General features: G+C 40.6%; 1 protein-coding gene and 1 pseudogene across 3 annotated transcripts; one reads left to right on the top strand and one right to left on the bottom strand.

The window, feature by feature from the left end:
- On the top strand, window positions 10,079–10,765 carry RPL37AP8 (ribosomal protein L37a pseudogene 8; annotated as a pseudogene).
- On the bottom strand, window positions 13,926–20,360 carry CFAP68 (cilia and flagella associated protein 68). Of its 3 annotated transcripts, XM_011542957.4 has the most exons (5): window positions 20,296–20,360; window positions 18,286–18,416; window positions 17,303–17,533; window positions 16,699–16,765; window positions 13,926–16,130 (listed from the first exon to the last, which is right to left on the bottom strand). In XM_011542957.4, the coding sequence occupies exons 2-5, from the start codon at window positions 18,376–18,378 to the stop codon at window positions 16,021–16,023; spliced, it is 501 nt and encodes a 166-aa protein (XP_011541259.1). In that variant the 5' UTR covers window positions 18,379–18,416; window positions 20,296–20,360; the 3' UTR covers window positions 13,926–16,020. The 3 variants fall into 3 exon arrangements, with proteins under 3 accessions (XP_011541259.1, NP_073598.1, NP_001317300.1); NM_022761.3 differs by lacking the exon at window positions 18,286–18,416; NM_001330371.2 differs by lacking the exons at window positions 16,699–16,765; window positions 18,286–18,416.

Here is a 20,441-nt window from a genome sequence, read left to right as displayed (position 1 = left end):
TCTCAGCATCAGTAAAAATCAAAAGACAGTAGAGTAATGGCTTCAAAGTACTGGTGGGGTAGAAATAGCTGTTAACTCATAGTTTTAGGTAAGTTATCACTCAAAGTAAAATACGCCAGGAATGCATATTTTATGGTTCAATATTGGAAAATCTCTCAATATAAATTCACTATGTTAATAGACTAAAAGAAAATAAAATCTTATGATTATTCCAACTAATGTGTGGTTCAGCTTCTCTATTTACATGGAGGGAAACTTCTGTTAGAAAATCAGAAATAAAAGAAATTTCCTCAAATTGGTAAATATTATATAACAAAAACTTAGCGCAAACATACTTACCAATGAAAATTTAAATTCATTCTATTCCTTTGAATATCCTGAGCAAGACAAGGATGCCCATTGTCACTCCTAATATTTTACATAGCAGTAAAGGTTCTGACCAATGCCATAACTGAAGAAAAACAAAGAAGAGGTGTAAGAATTGGAAAGGTAGAGATGAAACTGTTATTAGTTATAAATGATATAATAATCTGCTAAAACAACCCCAAAAGAATCAACAGACAGGCCAGGCACGGTGGTTCATGCCTGCAATCCCAGGACTTTGGGATGCTGAGGTGGGAGAATCACTTTAGCCCAGGAGTTTGAGACCAGCTGGACAACATGGTGAAACTCCATCTCTACTGAAAAAAAAAAAGAAAAAAATTAGTCAGGCGTATTGGTGCACACCTGTAGTTCCAGGTACTTGGGAGGCTGAGGTGGGAGAATCACCTGAGCCCAGGAGTTGGAGATTCAAGGCTGCAGCGAGCCAAGATCACATCACCGCACTCCAGCCTGGGGAAGCGGGGGTGAGACCCTGTCCTCCCCCACCCCCCAAAAAATCAGAATCAACAAACTGTTAGAACTAACAAGATAATTCAGCAAACTTGCAGCACACAATGTCAGATTATGGAATACTGTGCTGGTTATCTACTTCTGCATATCAAACGACCTGAAAATTTAGTGGCTTAAAACAACGATCATTTTATTAAACCTTACCAGGTGGTATTCAGCTGGTAGATGGTCTCATCTATAGGTTTTAAGGTGACTTAACTCTCATTCCTGATGCCTTGGCACGGATGGTTGGAAAGGTGGGCTCAGCTGGGCCTCTCTCCCTGTCCACATAGTGTCAGGATCTCTCTACAAGATCTCTCCAGCAGATAGTCAGATTTCTTATACAGTGGTTCAGGTATCCAAGGAGTGTTCCAAAAGACAGAAAGTGGGAGCTGCAAGTTTAAGGCTTGGGCTGGAAATTTACACAGCGTTTCTTTTGCCATAATTTTTTTACCAAAGCAGTTGCAAAGCCTTTCTACATTCCAAGGGAAGGGCACAGACCCCCTACCTCTTGGTGGAGGGAGAGTAAAAGAGTTTCCAGCCAAACTTAATCCTCCACAGCAGCTTACAGGGAGGGAGAAGGTATATGAAATCTCTAAAATTCACAAGGAATAATAGCGTTAATAGCAATAATATACAAGGAATTCCTAAGAATCAGCAAGAAAAGGACAGCTACTCCAATTTTCTTTAAAAAGGACAAAGACTATAGGACATTTATACAAGTGGAAATCAAGAAGCCAACATGCATACAAAGGAATGCTGAAAATAACTAGTAGTCAATGAAATGCAAACCAAAGTAACAATAAGCTATCTCTTTACAACAGTGTTTCTCAATATTGGCATTACCAATATTTTGGGCCAGACAAGTCTTTGTTGTGGGGGCTTGTCTGTGCCTTGTAGGATGTTTGGCAGCATCCCTGGCCTGTACCCACTAGCTGCCAATAGACATCCCCCTTGTAAAAATAAAAAATGTCTCTAGAAATTGCCAATTATCTCCTGGGGGATAAAATTGTCCCAGGTTGAGAACCATTGCTTTACACCTATCAGCATGGCAAAAAATAGAGAGCTGGTTAATGTTTTGTTTTGTTTTGTTTTTTTCTTGAGATGGAGTCTTGCTCTGTCCCCCAGGCTGGAGTGCAATGGCACGATCTTGGCTCACTGCAACCACAGCTTCCCAGGTTCAAGCGATTCTCCTGCCTCAGCCTTCCAAGCAGCTGGGACTTCAGGCGTGTGCCACCACACCCAGCTAATTTTTGTATTTTTAGTACAGATGGGGTTTCACCATGTTAGCCAGGCTGGTCTCTAACTCCTGACCTCAGGTGATCCACCCGCCTTGGCTTCCCGAAGTATTGGGATTACAGGCGTGAGGCACCACATTAATGTTAAGTGTTAGCAGAGATATGGCAACATAGGAAGCCTCAGGCCTTGTTGATGGGTATGTGAGTGGCACAGCCATTCTTGAGAGCAATAGTCAAATTAAATAAAGATATACCTCGGGACTCACCAATTCAGCATATGGGTAATTTACACAGGTCCATAAAGGAACATATATGAGGATATTCTCTGCAGCTTTGTCTGGTATTGGGGAGTTAGAGGCAAATTAAAATGTTGTGGCAGAATATCCTGTCCAATAATAGCAGATATATTTTTCTCAGTGCACATGAAACCTTCTACAGGACAGACCACAAGTTAGGCCACAAAACAAGTTTTAACACATTTTAAAAGACTGAAATCATACAAAGTATCTTTTCTGATCACAAGGAAATAAAATTAGAAATCAATAACAGAAGGAAAAATGGAAAATTCACAAATTAAACAATACACTCTTAAACAACTACTGGATTAAAGAAGAAATCACTGCCGGGTATGGTGGCTCACACCTGTAATCCCAACACTTTGGGAAGCCAAGGTGGGTGGATCACGAGGTCAGGAGATCGAGACCACCCTGGCTAACTTGGTGAAACCCCATCTCTACTAAAAATACAAAAAAATTAGCCAGGCATGGTGGCAGGTGCCTGTAGTCCCAGCTACTCAGGAGGCTGAGGCAGGAGAATGGCGTGAACCCGGGAGGCGGAGCCTGCAGTGAGCCGAGATTGCACCACTGCATACCAGCCTGGGCGACAGAGCAAGATCCGTCTCAAAAAAAAAAAAAAAAAAAAAAAAAAAAAGGAGAAGAAGAAGAAGAAATCACAAGGGAAATTGGAAAATACCTTGAGACAAATGAAAAAGAGAACACGGCTGGGTGCCGTGGCTCACACCTGTAATCCCAATACTTTGGGAGGCCAAGACAGGTGGATCACTTTAGCTCAGGAGTCCTAGACCAGCCTAGGCAAAATGGTGAAACCCCGTCTCAACAAAAAATACAAAAAAATAGCCATGCATGGTGGTGCGTACCTGAAGTCCCAGCTATTTAGAGAGCTAAGGTGAAAGGACCCCTTGCATCCAGGAGGCCAAGACAGTAGTGAGCCATGTTTGCACCTGTCTCAAAAAAAAAAAAAAAAAAAAAAAAGAGAGAGAGAGACAGAGACCCTGTCTCAAAAAAAGAAAAGAAAGAGAGGCTGGGTGCGATGACTTACACCTGTAACCCCAGAACTTTGGGAGGCCGAGGCGGGTGGATTACTTGAGGTCAGGAGTCCCAGACCAGCCTGGTCCACATGGTGAAACCCTATCTCCACTAAAAATACAAAAATTAGCTGGGCACGGTGGCGGGCACCTGTAATCCCAACTACTCAGGAGACTGAGACGGGAGAATGACCTGAATCCTGGAGACAGAGGTTGTAGTGAGCCAAGATCGCACCACTGCACTCTGGCCTGGGCAACAGAGTGAGACTGTCTCAAAAATAAATAAATAAATAAAAAAGAAAGGAAAAAGAGGATACAACATACCAAAACTTATGGGGTGCAGTAAAAGCAATACTAAACAGAAATTTATATCTGTAAACACATACAATAAGTCCTTACTTAACACTGTTGATAGGTTCTTGGAAACTGTGACTTTAATAACAATTTTACCATAGGCTGATGTAAACAAAACTATATTTCTGGTCATGAAAACATAGCTAAACAAAAACATACTTCTGGTCATGAAAATATCATCAAACTTCTCAATAGAAACCAAAAACACTTCTAATTTTTTTTTTTTAATTTTTGTGGGTACATAGTAGGCATATATATATATATATATATATATATATATATTTATGGGGTACATGAATTGTTTTGATTCAGGCATACAATGCATAATAATCACATAATGGACAATGGGGTATCCATCTCCTCAAACATTTATCCTTTGTATTACAAACAATCCAATTATTCTCTTTTTGTCATTTTAAAATGTACAGTTGGGCCAGGGTGGTGGCTCATGCCTGTAATCCCAGCACTTTGGGAGGCCAAGGCTGGCAGATCACTTGAGGTCAGGAGTTTGTGACCAGCCTGGCCAACATGGCGAAACCCCATCTCTACTAAAAAGACAAGAATTAGCCAGGCGTGGTGGTGCGCGGCTGTAGTCCCAGCTACTCGGGAGACTGAGGCAGAAGAATCACTTGAACCCGGGAGGCAGAGGCTGCAGTGAGCCGAGATTGGGCCACTGCACTCCAGCTTGGGTGACAGAGTGAGACCCTGTCACACATGCACACACACAAAAGTACAGTTAAATTATTATTGACTATAGTCACCCTGTTGTGCTATCATATCGTTTTATTCATTCTTTCTGGTTTTTTTTTTTTTGAGCGCCTTAACCATCCCCACCTTCCCCCAACCCACACTACCCTTCTCAGCCTCTGGTAACAATCCTTCTACTCTATTGCTATGAGTTCAATTGTTCCAATTTTCAGATGCCACAAATAAGCAGGAACATGTGATGTTTCTCTTTCTGTGCCTGGTTTATTTCACTTAACATAATGACTTTCAGAGTTCCATCCATGTTGTTGCAAATGACAGTATCTCAATCTTTCTTATGGCTGACTAGTACTCCATTGTGTGTAAGTAACATGTTGTCTTTATCCATTCATCTGTTGACAGACATTTAGGTTGCTTCCAAATCTTGGCTATTGTGAACAGAGCTACCACAAACTTGGGAGTGCAGATATCTCTTTCATATACTGATTTCCTTTCTTTGGGATATACACCCAGCAGTGGGATTGCTGGATCCTATGGTAGCTCTATTTTTAGTTTTTTGAGGAACCTCAAAACTGTTATCTATAGTGTTGTACTAATTTATATTCCCACCAACAGTGTACAAGGGTTCCCTTTTATCCACATCCTGCCAGCATTTGTTACTGCCTGTGTTTTGGACAAAAGCCATTTTAACTGGGGTGAGATACCTCATTGCAGTTTTGATCTGCACTTCTCTGATGATCAATGATGTTGAGCACCTTTTCATGTGCTTGTTTTCCATTTGTGTCTTTTGAGAAATGTCTATTCAGTTTTTGCCCATTTTAAATTAGATTATGAGATTTTTCTTATAGAGTTGTTTGAGTTCCTTATGTATTCTGGTTATTAATCTCTTGTCAGATGAGTAGTTTGTAAATATTTTCTCCCATTCTGTGGATTGTCTCTTCACTTTGTTTCCTTTGCTGTGCAAAGCCTTTTTTTTTTTTTTCCTTGAGACAGAGTTTCACTCTTGTTGCCCAGGCTGCTGGAGTGCAATGGCACGATCTTGGTCACCGCAATCTCCACCTCCCGGGTTCAAGCGATTCTCCTGCCTCAGCCTCCTGAGTAGCTGGGATTACAGGCATGTGCCACCACACCCAGCTTATTTTGTATTTTTTCAGTAGAGACGGGGTTACTCCATGTTGGTCAGGCTGGTCTCAAACTCCTGACCTCAGGTGATCCGCCCGCCTCGGCCTCCCAAAGTGCTGGGATTACAGATGTGAGCCACCACGCCCAGCCTGTGCAGAAGATTTTTAACTTGTGATCCCATTTGTCCATTTTTGCTTTGGTTGCCTGTGTTTGTAGGGTACGACTCAAGAAACTTACCCAGGCCAATGTCTAAGAGTTTCCCCAATGTTTTCTTGTAGTAGTTTCATAGTTTGAGGTCTTAGCTTTAAGTCTTTAATCGATTTTCATTTAATTTTTGTATATGGCAAGAGATAGGAATCTAGTTTCATTCTTATGCATATGGATAACCTGATTTCCCAGCACCATTTATTAAAGAGACTGTCTTTTCCCCAGTTTATGTTCTTGGCACCTTTGTCAAAAATGAGTTCACTGTAGGTGTGTGGATTTGTTTCCGGGTTCCTTACTCTGTTCCATTGGTGTATGTGTCTGTTTCTATGCCAGTATCATGTTGCTTTGGTTACTATAGCTCTTTAGTACAATTTGAAGTCAGGTAATATGATTCCTCCATACTTCTAACACTAAACATCAAGATAAATATGAAGTATACATACATTTAAGAAAGATTACTGGCTAGGCACGGTGGCTCACACCTGTAATCCCAGCACTTTGGGAGGCCAAGGCGGGCAGATCACAAGGTCAGGAGTTTGAGACCAGTCTGGCCAACATGGTGAAACCCTATCTCTACTAAAAATACAAAAATTAGCCAGGTGTGGTGGCAGGCGCCTGTAATCCCAGCTACTCGGGAGGCTGAGGCAGGAGAATCCCTTGAAACCGGAAGGCGGAGGTTGCAGCGAGCTGAGATTGCATCACTGCACTCCACACTGGGCAAGAAAAGTGAAACTCCATCTCGAAGAAAAAAAAAAAAGATTACTAAAAACAAGTAAGGTAATTATTTACCCAATTTTTGGTAAATCAGTGAGTGACAGCATTTGTAGCAGTGGTGAGTTAAATCAAGGAATAAATGTTTGCAAAGTGAAAATTATAAGGAGTGTCTCCTACCACCATGCAGTTCAAAGGCAAACAGTCACAAATCTGGAGGCTTCGCTGAATGCTTTCTATTATAGCATTGCTTATGTTGTGCGTCTGTATGATTATTGTAGACTTTATGAATTTTTATTTTATAAACTTTGTATTCATTCATTCATTCATTCATTTTCCAACTGACTTATTCCAGTTCAGGGTCATAGGTTGTTGGAGCCTATCCTGGAAGCTTAGGGCACAAAGAGGGAACTGACCCTGGATGGGATGCCATCCCATCATGGGGTGTACTCACATGCACACCCCCACTCATTCAGACTGTGGGACCATTTAGAAATGCCAGTTCACCTAATGTGCGCATCTTTGGGATGTAGGAGGAACCTGGAGTACCCAAAGAAAACCTACGCAGACTTGGGAAGAACATGCAAACTCCACACAGACACTGTCCCAGCAGGGAAGTAATTTGTTTTTCTCATCAACCTAATAATGATACAATGCTAAATAAAACAACATTATTTGAAGACCTGCTGTACATTGAAAAAAAAGAAAAATTGCAAATCAAAAAACTGATTTTACATCATAAGGAACTAGAAAAAGAAAAGCAAATCCAAACCAAAGCTAGAAGAAGAAAGAAAATAATAAAGGTTAGAGCAGAGATAAATAAAAGACAGAACAGAAAAATAAAGGAAGTCAATGAAACCAAAAGTTATTCCTTTGAAAAAATCAACAAAATTGACAACCCTTACCTAGATTGACTAAGAAAAAAAGAGAGAAAAATCAAATTACTAAAATCAGAAAAAAGTGGGGACATTTTTGCAGATGCAAACAGAAATAAAAAAGATTATATGAGAATACTATGAACAATTATCTGCTAGCAAATTGGAAACATAGGTCAAACAGATAAATTCCTACAAACACATATTTTACCAAAACTGACTCATGAAGAAATAGAAACTCTGAGTAGGTCCATAATTTGGAGTAAGGAAATTGAATTAGTAATCAAAATACCCCAACAATGAAAAGCCCTGGACCAGATGGCTTCACTGATGAGTTCTACCAAATATTTATATAAGAATTAACATCAGTCCTCCTCAAACTTTTTAAAAGAAAAACAAAGAGGAGGAATACTTCCTAACTTATTCTGGGAGACCAGCATTACCCTGATACCGAAGCTAGACAAAGACATTACAAGAAAAGAAAACTACAGACCAATACACCACATAAATCTTCAACAAAATACTAGCAAACCAAATTCGCAGGATATTAAAAGGATTATAAATATATTCCTGAAATGCAAGTTTGAGTCAACATATTAAAATCAATCAATACAATACACCGCATTTACAAAATAGAGGGAAAAAATCCCACAGGATCATCTCAGTTAATGCAGAAAAAGCATTTGACAGAATTCAAAACCCTTATACAATAAAAACATTCAACAAACTAGGAGTAGAAGGAAACTACCTCAACATAATAAAGACCATATATGAAAAACCCACAGCAAACACCAAACTCAATGATAAAAATTAAAAGTTTCGGCCAGGTGTGGGGGCTCACACCTGTAATCTCAGCACTTTGGGAGGCCGAGGCTGGAGGATCACTTGGGCCCAGGAGTTCGAGACCAGCCTGGGCAGTATGGCGAAACCTCATCTCTACAAAAACTACAAAAATTAGCATGGCCTGGTGGCATGCACCTGTAGTCCTAGCTACTCGGGAGGCTGAGGTGAGAGTATAGCTTGAGTCTGGGAAGCAGAGGTTGCAGTGAGCCAAGATCGTGCCACTACACTCTAGCACTTGACCCTCTCTCAACAAATAAAAAACAAAACAAAAAACAAAAATTCCACCAAAACTAAAAGTTTTAGCCTATTGCCAGTCCTTGGAAAAAAAATAAAAGGTCTTCCTTTAAGATCAGGATCAAGACAAGGATACCCACTTTTGCCACTTCTACTCAGTATATTATTAGATGTTCTGCTCAGAGCAATTAGGTAAGAAAAAGAAATAAAAGTATCCACATTGGAAAGGAAGAAGTAAAATTATCTGTTTGCAGATGACATGATCTTACATGTGGAAAACCCTAAAGATTACACACACACACACACACACACACACACACACACACACCATTAGAACTAATATACAAATTCAGCAAAGTGGCAGGACACAAAACCAACAAACAAAAATCAATTCCATTTCTATACATTAACAATTAGTAACCTGAAATAAAGATTAAGACAACAATACTATTTACAATAACATCAAAAAGACTAAAATACTTAGGAATAAACCAAGAAGGTAAGACTTATACACTGAAAACTATAATGTATTGCTGAAAGAAATTAAGAAGACATAAATAAATGGAAAGACATCTGTGCTCATGAATTGGAAGACTTAATATTAAGATATCAATATTAGCCATACTGATTACAGATTCAATGCAATCCCTATCAAAATTCCAATGACTTTGCAGAAAAAAAAAATCTATCCTAAAATTCATATGGAATCTCAAGGGACCCTGAAGAGCTGAAACAATCTTGAAAAAGAACAAAGTGGGAAGACTTAGACTTTCTGATTTCAAAACTTATTACAAAACTACAGTAATCAAAATGGTGTGATATTGGCAAAAAGGCAGAATGTAGATCAATGTAATAGAATATAGAGTCCAGAAATAAACCTTAGTGCATATGGGCAAATGATTTCCAACAAGGGTGACATGACCATTTAATGGGGAAAGGACAATCTTTTCAACAAATGGTGCTGGGAAAACTGAATATTCACTTGCAAAAGAATGAAGTTGGACCCATGCCTTATATATACCTTATACTATAGATACAAATTAATTCCAAAAGTATCAAAGACCTATTTTATTTATTTTTAATTAATTTATTATTATTATTATTTTTTGAGACAGGGTTTTGCTCTTGTTGCCAAGGCTGGAGTGCATGGTGTGATCTCAGCTCACTGCAACCTCCACCTCCGAGGTTCAAGCAATTCTCCTGCTTCAGCCTCCCAAGTAGCTGGGATTACAGGCATGCACCACCACACCCGGCTAATTTTGAATTTTTAGTAGAGATGGGTTTCACCGTGTTGGCCAGGCTGGTCTTGAAATCCTGACCTCAGGTGATCCACCTGCCTCGACCTCCCAAAGTGCTGGGATTACAGGCATGAGTCACTGCGCCCAGCCAAAGACCTCTTTTGTCAGAACTAAAACTATAAAACTCTTAGAAGAAAATAGGGGGAAAGCTTTTTAACACTGTATTTAGCAATGGTTTCTTGGATATAACACCAGAAGCACAGGCACCACCAACAAAAAATAGATAAATTGGACTTATCAACATTAAAAACTTTTGTGCATCAAGGGACAGTATCTAGAGAGTGAAACAACATCTTCCTCTCTGGGCTTGGACCTAGTTTGTGGTGACATGGCCAAATGCACCAAGAAAGTTGGAATGAGGCTGGACACGGTGGCTCACGTCTGTAATCCCAGCACTTTGGGAGGCCAAGGTGGCTGGATCACTTGAGATCAGGAGCTCGAGACCAGCCTGGCCAACATGGCGAAACCCCATCTCTAATCAAAATACAAAAATTAGCCAGGCATGATGGCACACGCCTGTAGTCCCAGCTACTGGGGAGGCAGAGGCAGGAGAATAGCTTGAACCTGGGATGCAGAGGTTGCAGTGAGCCGAGATCGTGCCACTGAACTCCAGCCTGGGCGACAGAGTAAGACTCAATCTCAGAAAAAAAAAAAAAAAAGAAAGTCGGAATAGTCAGTAAATACAGGACCCACCATGGGGCCTCCCTCTGGAAAATGGTGAAGGAAATTGAAATCAGCCAGCACACCAAGTACACTTGCTCTTTCTGTGGCAAAACCAAGATGAAGAGACGAGCTGTGAAAATCAGGCACTGTAATTCCTGCATGAAGACAGTGGCTGGCAGTGCCTGGACCTACAACACCACTTCGGCTGTCATGGTGAAGTCTGCCATCAGAAGACTGAAGGAATTGAAAGACCAGTAGATGCTCCTCTACTCTTTGAGACATCTCTGGCCTATAACAAATGGGTTAATTTATGTTAAAAAAAAAAAAAGAGAGAGAGAGTGAAACAACAATCTACACAATCAGAGAAAATATTTGCAAATCTTATATCTGATTAGAAATTAGTATCTGGAACATGTAAGGATGTATAAAGAACTCCTACAACTCAACAACAAATAAATCAACAAACCAATTCACAAATGGGCAAGGAACTTGAAAAAACATTTCTCCAAAGAAGATACACAAATAGCCAAAAAGAACACAGAAAGATGCTCAAGGTCAAGTCTGTAATCCCAGCACTTTGGGAGGCCTAGGCGGTTGGATCACCTGAGGTCAGGAGTTCAAGACCAGCCTAGCTAACATGGTGAAACCCTGTCTGTACTAAAAATACGAAAATTAGCAGGGCACAGTGGCACGCGCCTGTAGTCCCAGCTACTTGGGAAGCTGAGGCAGGAGAATCGCTCGAACCCAGGAGGCAAGAGGTTGCAGCGAGCCGAGATGGTGCCACTGTACTCCAGCCTGGGCGACAGAGGGCAATAGAGCGAGATTCCAGCTCAAAAAAAAAAAAAAAAAAAAAAGGAAAAAGAGGTGTTTAATCATTAGCCATTAGGGAAAATATGAATCAAAACCACCATGGAATACCACTTTATATCCACTAATATGGCTATTATAAGACATAAACAAAAACAAAATAAGCGTTGATGAGAATATGGAGAAACTGAAACCCTTGTGTATTGCTGGTAGGAATATAAAATGGTACAGCCATTATGGAAAAGTTTGGCATTTTCAAACTGTTAAATTAGAATTATTGGCTAGGCGTGGTGGCTCACGCTTGGAATCCCAGCACTACGGGAGGCCGAGGCAGGCCGATCACTTAAAGTCACGAGTTTGAGATCAGTTGGCCAACATGGCGAAACTTTGTCTCTACTAAAAGTACAAAATTTGGTGAGGCTTGGTGGTGTGTGCCTGTAGTCCCAGCTACTTGGGTGGCTGAGGCAGAAGAACCGCTTGAACCCATGAAACAGAGGTTGCAGTAAGCCAAGATCACGCCACTGCACTCCAGCCTGGGTGACAGAGTAAGACTCTGTCTCAAAAAAAAAAAAACAAAAAAAAAACAAAAACATATAGAAATTATGGTATGATCCAGTAATTCCATTTCTGAATGTATACCTCAAAGAATTGAAAGCAGGGCACAAACAGATACTTGTATACCAATGTTCATTACAGCATATTTCACAATAGCTAAAAGGTGAAAACAACCCAAGTGTCCATTAACAGATAATGGAGAAGCAAACTGTGGTATATATATGCATGGAATATTATTCAATCTTTTTTTTTTTTTTTGAGACAGAGTATCGCTCTGTCACCAGGCTGGAGTGCAGTGGCGCAATCTCGGCTCACTGCAACCACCTCCTCCCAGGTTCAAGCGATTCTCCTGCCTCAGCCTCCTGAGTACCTGGGATTACAGGTGCACACCACCATGCCCAGCTAATTTTTGTATTTTTTTAAGAGACAGGGTTTCATCATGTTGGCCAGGATGGTCTCAATCTCTTGACCTCACGATCCGCCCGCCTTGGCCTCCCAGAGTTTTGGGATTACAGGTGTGAGCCGCTGTGCCCAGCCTATTCAATCTTAAAGAAGAGGAGGCTGAGGTGGGAGGATCGCTTGAACCCAGGAATTTGACACCATCGTGGGAAACAAAACGAGACCCTGTATCCAAATTTGTTTTAAAAAATTAGCTGAGCGTGGTGGAATGCACCTGTAGTCCCAGATACTTGGGAGGCTGAGGTGGGAGGATCCCTGGAGTGTAGAAGTTTGAGGTTGCAGTGAGCTATGATCACACCACTGCATTCCAACCTGGGTGACAGAGGCTGTCTCAAAACAAAAAGGAAGATACATGGTATAACATACATGAGCCTTGAAAATATTACGCTAAGTAAAATAAGCCAGACACAGAAGGACAAATATTACACAATTCCACTTAAATGAGGTACCTAGAATAGGTAAATTCATAGAGACAGAAAGTAGAATACAGGTTACCAAGAGCTGAGGGAGTGGGGGTCGGGGAATGAGACATTATTGTTTTATAGGTACAGAGTTTTAGTTCGGGATGATGAGAAAGTTCTGGAAATTGATAGTGGTGATGGTTGCACAACATTGTGAACATTGCACAACATTGTGAAAATACTTAATGCCACTAAATTACACACTTAAAAATAGCTATAATGGGCCACACATGGTGGCTTATGCTTGTAATCCCAGCACTTTGGGAGGCTGAGGCAGGTGGACTGCTTGAAGTCAGGAGTTTGAGTCCAGCCTGGGCAATATGGTGAAACCCTGTCTCTATGAACAACAACAACAAAAAAGCTAAAATGGTAAATTTTATGTTATGTGTGTGTATATATATACATACATATATATATATATATATATATATATATATATATATATATATATATATGTATAGGTTTTTTTTTTTGAGACAGTCTCGCTCTGTCGCCCAGGCTGGAGTGCAATAGCATGATACTGACTCACTACAACCTCTGCCTCCTGGGTTCAAGAGATTCTCCTGCCTCAGCCTCTGGAGTAGCTGGGATTACAGGTGCCTGCCACCACGCCCAGCTAATTTTTGTATTTTTAGTAGAGACAAAGTTTCACCACATTGGCCAGACTGCTCTCAAACTCGTGACCTCAAGTGATCCGCCAGCCTCGGCCTCCCAAAGTGTTGGGAGTACAGGCATGAGCCACTGCGCCCAGCCATGTTATGTATATTTTACCTCAATTTTAAAAATGTGCTAGATACATAGGAAATAGAATAAGACATACGATATGTAAACTTAAAATATGTGTCTATAAAACAATATTTGTATTGTAAGAACATACAAATAAATTATTAGAATTAATGAGAACTCAAATTCTAAAACTGACCTAATGATGCAATACCGTTTCAATCAATATCCTAACAGTGTCATTTTATGGAGCAAGCTGATTCTAAATTTTATATGGAAATGCAAAAGTTCAAACATAGCTAATATTCTTGAAGAAAACAAGACGAAAGCATTTGATCTATTAGGTATTAAGATATAAAATAATAATAATGTAATAAAATTATCATAATTAAGATGGTGCAATTAAGGCATCATAACTAAGATAATACAAGGAATGACAATTAAACTAATAGAACATAGTAGCCCAGAAACAGACCTACATGTACATAGTTTATTTACAATAAAAATGGCATTGAATAGGAGTGAAAAAATTATGGTCTTTTCAATAACTAATGGTGGGACAACTTGATAGCCATTTAGAAAAAAAAAAGAAACTTCCTCACTACTGAGTAACAACATAAATTCTGGATCTATATCTCGAAACTAAAGTAACAAAGGTTTGAGAGGTAATATATGGGAGATAAAAAATATCTCCTTGCTTACGAGGACAACATATGGGCAGTATCTCTCAGTAATGCCCATATATTATAGTGTCTTCTTACACAGTAGATAAAAAAATAGGAAATACTAATCAGTTTAACCATATTAAAATTAAGACTGTTGATTTCCTAAGTTTACCAAACCTAAGCTATTCACAACCCTTTCTCAGTCTCTACTAGTTCCCTATTTTGACTCATTTTAAACCAGTTGGACCCTTATCTCAAATCCTTATAAATACCTTACTCTAACATCCTCCCTTTGAATCATTACCAAGACTCTGTGTCAAGTTGATGGTCTCCTTTGCTACACTACAATAGGTTTAATGAGCTTTGTTTAGTCAACAGGTTTCCTTAGTGACCTTTGTTGGGGGGGAGTAGACAATTGACAGTCCTTATCTTTTTGAGAAATATACTGAAATCTTTAAAAAAATTTTTTTTGGTAGAGATGGGGTCTTGCTATGTTGCCCAGGCTGGTTTTGAACTCCCAGCCTCAAGCTATCCTCCTGCCTCAGCCTCCCAAAGTGCTGGGATTAGGTGTGAGCCACTGTGCCCAGCCAGTATACCAAGATTTTTTTTTTCTTTTTCTTTTCTTTTTTTTTTTTGAGACGGAGTTTCGCTCTTGTCGCCCAGGCTGGAGAGCAATGGCACCGTCTCAGCTCACTGCAACCTCTGCTTCCTGGGTTCAAGCAATTCTCCTGCCTCAGCCTCCCAAGTAGCTGGGATTACAGGCGCCCGCCACCAAGACCAGCTAATTTTTGTATTTTTAGAAGAGATGGAGTTTCACCACATTGGCCAGGCTGGTCTTGGACTCCTGACCTCAGGTGATCCACCCACCTCAGCCTCCCAAAGTGCTGGGATTACAGGCATGAGCCACCGCACCCAGCCCACCAAGATTTTTATAGATTAAATTCTATTTCTAAGATCTGCTCCAAAATTAATTCAATAAGACAAAGTAGAAGTAGGTAAGATTAGTCATAAATAGTTGATGCTGGGTAATGATACATGGGAGTTCATTAGACTAGCCTGTCTACTTTTGTTTTACGTAAAATTCTCCATAATAATTTTAAAAAGTTACGTTTGTTTTTGTAGTCCTCAAGAGGGGATGTTCACTAAGGTCACAGCAAAGTTGCACTATACGACTCTGGCTTATACCCAGAAAGCATCTAGCCAAACCTAGCCTAAGTTATGCTAGATTCTGAGGTCTTGCTACGACAGAAGGAAGGGAAGACCACAGTGGTTGTAGACTTCAGAGAAATAATTCTTTTTTTTTTTTTTTTTTTGAGACAGAGTCTCGCTCTGTCACCCAGGCTAAAGTGCAGTGGCATGATCTCAGCTCACCACAACCTCCACTTCTCAGGTTCAAGCGATTCCCCTGCCTCAGCCTCCTGAGTAGCTGGGATTACAGGCGTGAGCCACCATGCTCAGCTAATTTTTGTGTTTTTAGTAGAGACAGTGTTTCACCATGTTGGTCAGGCTGGTCTCGAACTCCTGACCTCACGTGATCCACCTGCCTCGGCCTCCCAAAGTGCTGGGATTACAGGCATGAGCCACCGTGCCTGGCCTAAAATAATTCTTTTTAAGGCCCTTCTACAACACCCCAAATGTAGAACTGAGTTGCTGTATTAAATTTGACATTTAAATCTTGGTTAAAACAACAACAAAAAAAGGGATAAAGAATATTTACTGTGTTTTTTGCTTTATTTATTCAGAGAGTGAAACTGTGTTACAGTGAGCTAAATTTTTAGCTGTACTTAGAATGTGCTCCCTCCTACATTTCACTCTGGAAAAGTGAAGTATCTTATCATTTCTTAGAAACCTGGATGTGAAACTAGTCAATATTAAGATCTTATACACATCCTGAGTGATGCCCAATTTAAGGCTTTGAATAGCTATTCATGTAAGTTGACTTTTCTGTGCATTTGTATCGGGGAGGATCCAGTTCAGGTTGATGTCCTGGGAACCAGTGAGGCTCTCGCTTAAATCCTGAGGGAAGAAAAAAAAAGGAAGGAAAGACAAATGAAAACAGTCAACACTAAGGAGTTTTAGTAACTGATCTTGCTCTTATTTCTAGGGAATAGACAGTAAGTCCTGTTAAAATTGAAGAAAAAATCCTGTTTACTCATTCATGTAGTTATTCACCTTTTTTTTCTTTTTTTTTTTTGAGATAGAGTCTCACTCTGTCACCCAGGCAGGAGTGCAGTGGCTTGATTTCTGCTCACTGAAACCTCCACCTCTCGGGTTCAGGTGATTCTCCTGCCTCAGCCTCCTGAGTAGCTGGGACTACAGGCATGCGCCACCAAGCCCAGCTAATTTTTGTATTTTTTTTAGTAGAGATGGGGTTTCACCACGCTGGCCAGGCTGGTCTCAAACTCCTGACCTCAAGTGATCTGCCTGCCTCAGCCTCACAAAGTGCTGGGGTTACAGGTGTGAGCCACTGCGCCCAGCCTCACTTATTCACCTATTCAGTTTACTTTTATTTGAGTTCCTTCTATGTGCCGGTCACTGAGTTAGGTTCTGAAAATGTAAGAATTTGAAAAAACAGTCCACGTACTATGTGTTGAAAGTGGCATTTTGTTGTTGTAGCTTGTATCATATGTTGTTTCAAAGTAGTGTCCAAACTGGAAAGAAAAATTAACAGATTAAGAATCTGGAAGTCTACAGCTAACATCAGGAAATAAAGATCAATATGACATGAATTCTCACGGACTGTCATATTTTAGATGGACTGAGTTCTATGGTGTTAGTCTATATCCTTCTAACTTTCACATGTTTTGTACGTTTGTTTGTTTAGGAGCGATTTAAGTGCAAGACTCAGATAAATGACAAGTCTAGATAGGCAAGGACCAGGGGAAAAGCTAGTCTAAGTCAGAAGACATTATAAATTTCTGTAGACTAAGAGATAAAGTCCAAACAGAAGTAAGAGAAAAAGAGGACTGCCCTTCCTTTTGAAACCTTACAGATAATAAAATATTCAACTTGACAGTAAAGTAGCATAGGTGGTTCAGCTGCGGACTGTTCCTCTGCCCCAACCACTTCACTGAAAACTGAGAGATCACTGCACCAGAAGTTATTACATCCCTGCATTTCAAATGGCCACTACATTTCTTTTGCCAACAGAAGGAAACAAACAAACAAAAAAGACAAAGTTAGATTACCTGGGAAGGCAAGGGTTTGGGCTGCACGATATTCCTCAGGTCATATCTTTCCTGGTTCCAGTTGCCCATCAGGGTACGGTTTGAATAGGTATTCTCATTAGTGGTGCATCGCCATCCATACTGGAAAAACTTGGACATATTATTCCAATCTGTCCACACTTCACCATGGCCATCTGCATTAACAAGGCTGCCACAGTGTGGGTTTGTGAGGAAACAGGCGAGGTTCTGTCTCTGGGAAAAGACAAGAATAGAAAAGCTTATTGCATAAACCAGAGAAGAGAAAAAGCATCTTTTCCTGCCCTTGTTTTACATAGCCAGGTATAACACAAGCACACCGTACTAATGATCCAGGCTATGTTATGGTTCTGTTTCTTCTTCTCTAAGTCCTGGGACCCTTTGATCCATTCTTTCAATCAGCAACAGTGGGTGACTACATGGATTAAATCCACACCCCCGCTCCCCAGGCCCCGTGAAGAGACAGGAAAAACTTCAGTATTCCCAATACAATATGGAGAATTAGCTAAATTTTTAAGGTAATTTTGAGATGTAGGCATTGAGGGACTAAAAGCACTGCTACAGTCAAAGAGAACAAAAAGAAGTGAGAGTTGAGTAACTAGATAACACAATAAATGAGTAATAAATGATCATTTCCTTCCTTCTAGCTCAAATGATGCCTTCCCTGAAGTTAGCTTCTCTTTCAACTCACATAAAACTTTATCTTTCCCTGTATTTATAACTTTTTACCATACATTAGAGTTCTTTAAGTCTGCATTATATCTCCTATACAGAGCTGTATGCCCCTTAAGGACAGGATCTGTTTTATTCATTATTGTACCCTGTCCTTCTGCCTGTTCTCCCAATCAATCTGGATTGCATATACCAGATGATCAATGTCTGATTTCATTTTTTTTGGTAAGATAAAAGCTCAATCTTTCTTTTTCCCCAAAATGTGAGTCTGGCCCCCTGACTTAGGAAGATGATACCTTTCCTGAAGAAGAGTAACTTGATGCTGAGTAGGTTGAGCTCTTTGAAGATTTCTTATGAGAGTCACAGAAATCCTTACTTGGCTGTTCCATGTTCTTTAAAGATGTCAACAAACCTGGCTTTCCCAGTTCTCCAAGCAAAGAAAGAATCACCCAGATTACCATGGGCAAGTGGCCATGATTTGGGAGTCACCACCCACTTGCCTTTCCACAGGCAGAAACAAAGCCAATAATGCAGCATTGAAGGATGACATCCCAGGTAACTACCCTCATACCATCTGCCTTTGTGAAGACAGATGCATGCACTGATGTTACCAAACAACATGATGACCAGAGTAGCTGGTGCCACAAAGTCCAATGGGCCTGGTACTCATACTGGAGATCTAGGTGTAACTGTCTCTAGGGCTGGAATGACAGACATCACCATCCACTCAGTTGTCCAAGCCAGAAGCCTGGGGCTTATCTTTGACTCTGACTTGTCTTTAATTTTCATCCAGTCACTAAGTCTTGTTGATTTTTGAATCAGACTGCCACCCTCCATTCCCATTGCCAAATTTCAATTCAAATCACTGTCAGCTTTGTCTCCATTATTGCAGTTGCCTCTTGTTTTATCCTGCCATGCCATCAGCCTTGTTCCTCTCCAAACCTTTCTCCACAGGAAAGGAGAATTTTTCAAAGTGAAAGTATAATTGTATCATCTTCTTATTTAAAATCTTTCAGTGGCTTTCCACCGTTTTCAGAGTAAGATTCAGTCTGTTAAAATGGCTTACAACAGAACAGAGAACCAAATACAGCATGTTCTTGTTACCGGAAGGGGTCCTGATCCAGACCCCAAGAGACACAAGAAATAATTCAAGGTGAGTCTATAAAGCATAAGGAAGTTTATTAAGAAAGTAAAGGAATAAAGAATGGCTACTCCATATGCAGAGCAACCCTGAGGGCAGCTGGTTGCCCATTTTTATGGTTGTTGATTATATACTAAACAAGGGGTGGATTAATTCATACCTCCACTTTTTAGACCATATACGGTAACTTCCTGACTTTGCCATGGCATTTGTAAACTGTCATGGCGCTGGTGGGAGTGTAGCAATGAGGATGACCAGAGATCACTCTCATCACCATCTCGGTTTTGGTGGATTTTAGCTGGCTTCTTTACTGCAACCCGTTTTATCAGCAAGGTCTTTATGACCTGTATCTTGTGCTGAGCTATCTCATCCTGTGACTAAGAATGCCTTAACTTACTGGGAATGCAGCCCAGGTCTTAGCCTTATTTACCTAGCCCCTATTCAAGACGGAGTTGCTCTGGTATAAATACCTCTGACATTCTCACTTATAAGTGGGAGCTAAACATTGAGCAAACATGGACCTAAACATGGAAACAACACACACTCCAGGCTACTAACTAGAGTGGGGAGGGCGGGTGGTGTGGGTTGAAAAACTATTAGGTGCAATATACCCATGTAGCAAACCTGCAACCTACCTGGGTGCAATATATCCACGTAACAAACCTGTACCTGTACCCCCATTTGTAAAATAAAAGTTGATTTTTTTTAAAGGCTTACAACGCTCCCTATGACCTGGCCCCTGCCTAACTCTTCAGTCTCATCTGTTACTCTCCCTCCAATTGTGTTTCAGCCAAACTCAACTATTCTGTTTCTCCATCAAGCTTTTGCATATATTGTTCCTTCTGCCTCTTCACGCCTCTTGACTCAGTTAAGATGCACTTTTACCCTGTTAGCTTTCAACTCGGGTTTACTTCATCCAAGGACTCTCTGACCCTCTTCGCCCCCAAACTTGGTAACGTTCTTCTGTGTGCTCCCAGAGCACACACCCTGCCATATCAGAGTTGCCTGTTTTGCTCTGTGCATTCCCCACCAGACTGCAGGCTCATTGAAATCATAGGCCACATTTTGTTCATCCACATATCGTAACCACCCTCACAGTGGCCTGGCACGCAATAGACACTCAATACTCTTTCTTGAACGAATAGAAGATAGGAGATTTAAGCACCTGGAAGAGAAATTTTGAGCAGCAGAGACACTGGGAGGCAGCCATTTCAGACGAGGTGAAAAAAGGTTCAAAACCTTCTGCGTCAGGAGCATGCGAGACACAGTCCAACCTCTTCCTTGGCCTCAGCCCCGCCCCGTTTCTTTCAC

The sequence above is a fragment of the Homo sapiens genome, chromosome 11 (genome assembly GCF_000001405.40).
Source record: "Homo sapiens chromosome 11, GRCh38.p14 Primary Assembly".
Taxonomy (NCBI): Eukaryota; Metazoa; Chordata; class Mammalia; order Primates; family Hominidae; genus Homo; species Homo sapiens.
This window is presented reverse-complemented; position numbering and strand designations above follow the sequence as displayed.

Excerpts from the sequence above, each read along its gene's own strand:
- CFAP68 (XM_011542957.4), bottom strand. The coding sequence starts at position 18,378 with ATGGAACAGCCAAGTAAGGATTTCTGTGACTCTCATAAGAAATCTTCA. Across the intron at positions 16,766-17,302 it reads CCAAACCCTTGCCTTCCCAG|TTTGGACACTACTTTGAAAC; the intron begins GTAATCTAACTT and ends TTTTCTTTCCAG. Across the intron at positions 16,131-16,698 it reads AATGCCACTTTCAACACATA|GATTTAAGCGAGAGCCTCAC; the intron begins GTACGTGGACTG and ends TTCTTCCCTCAG.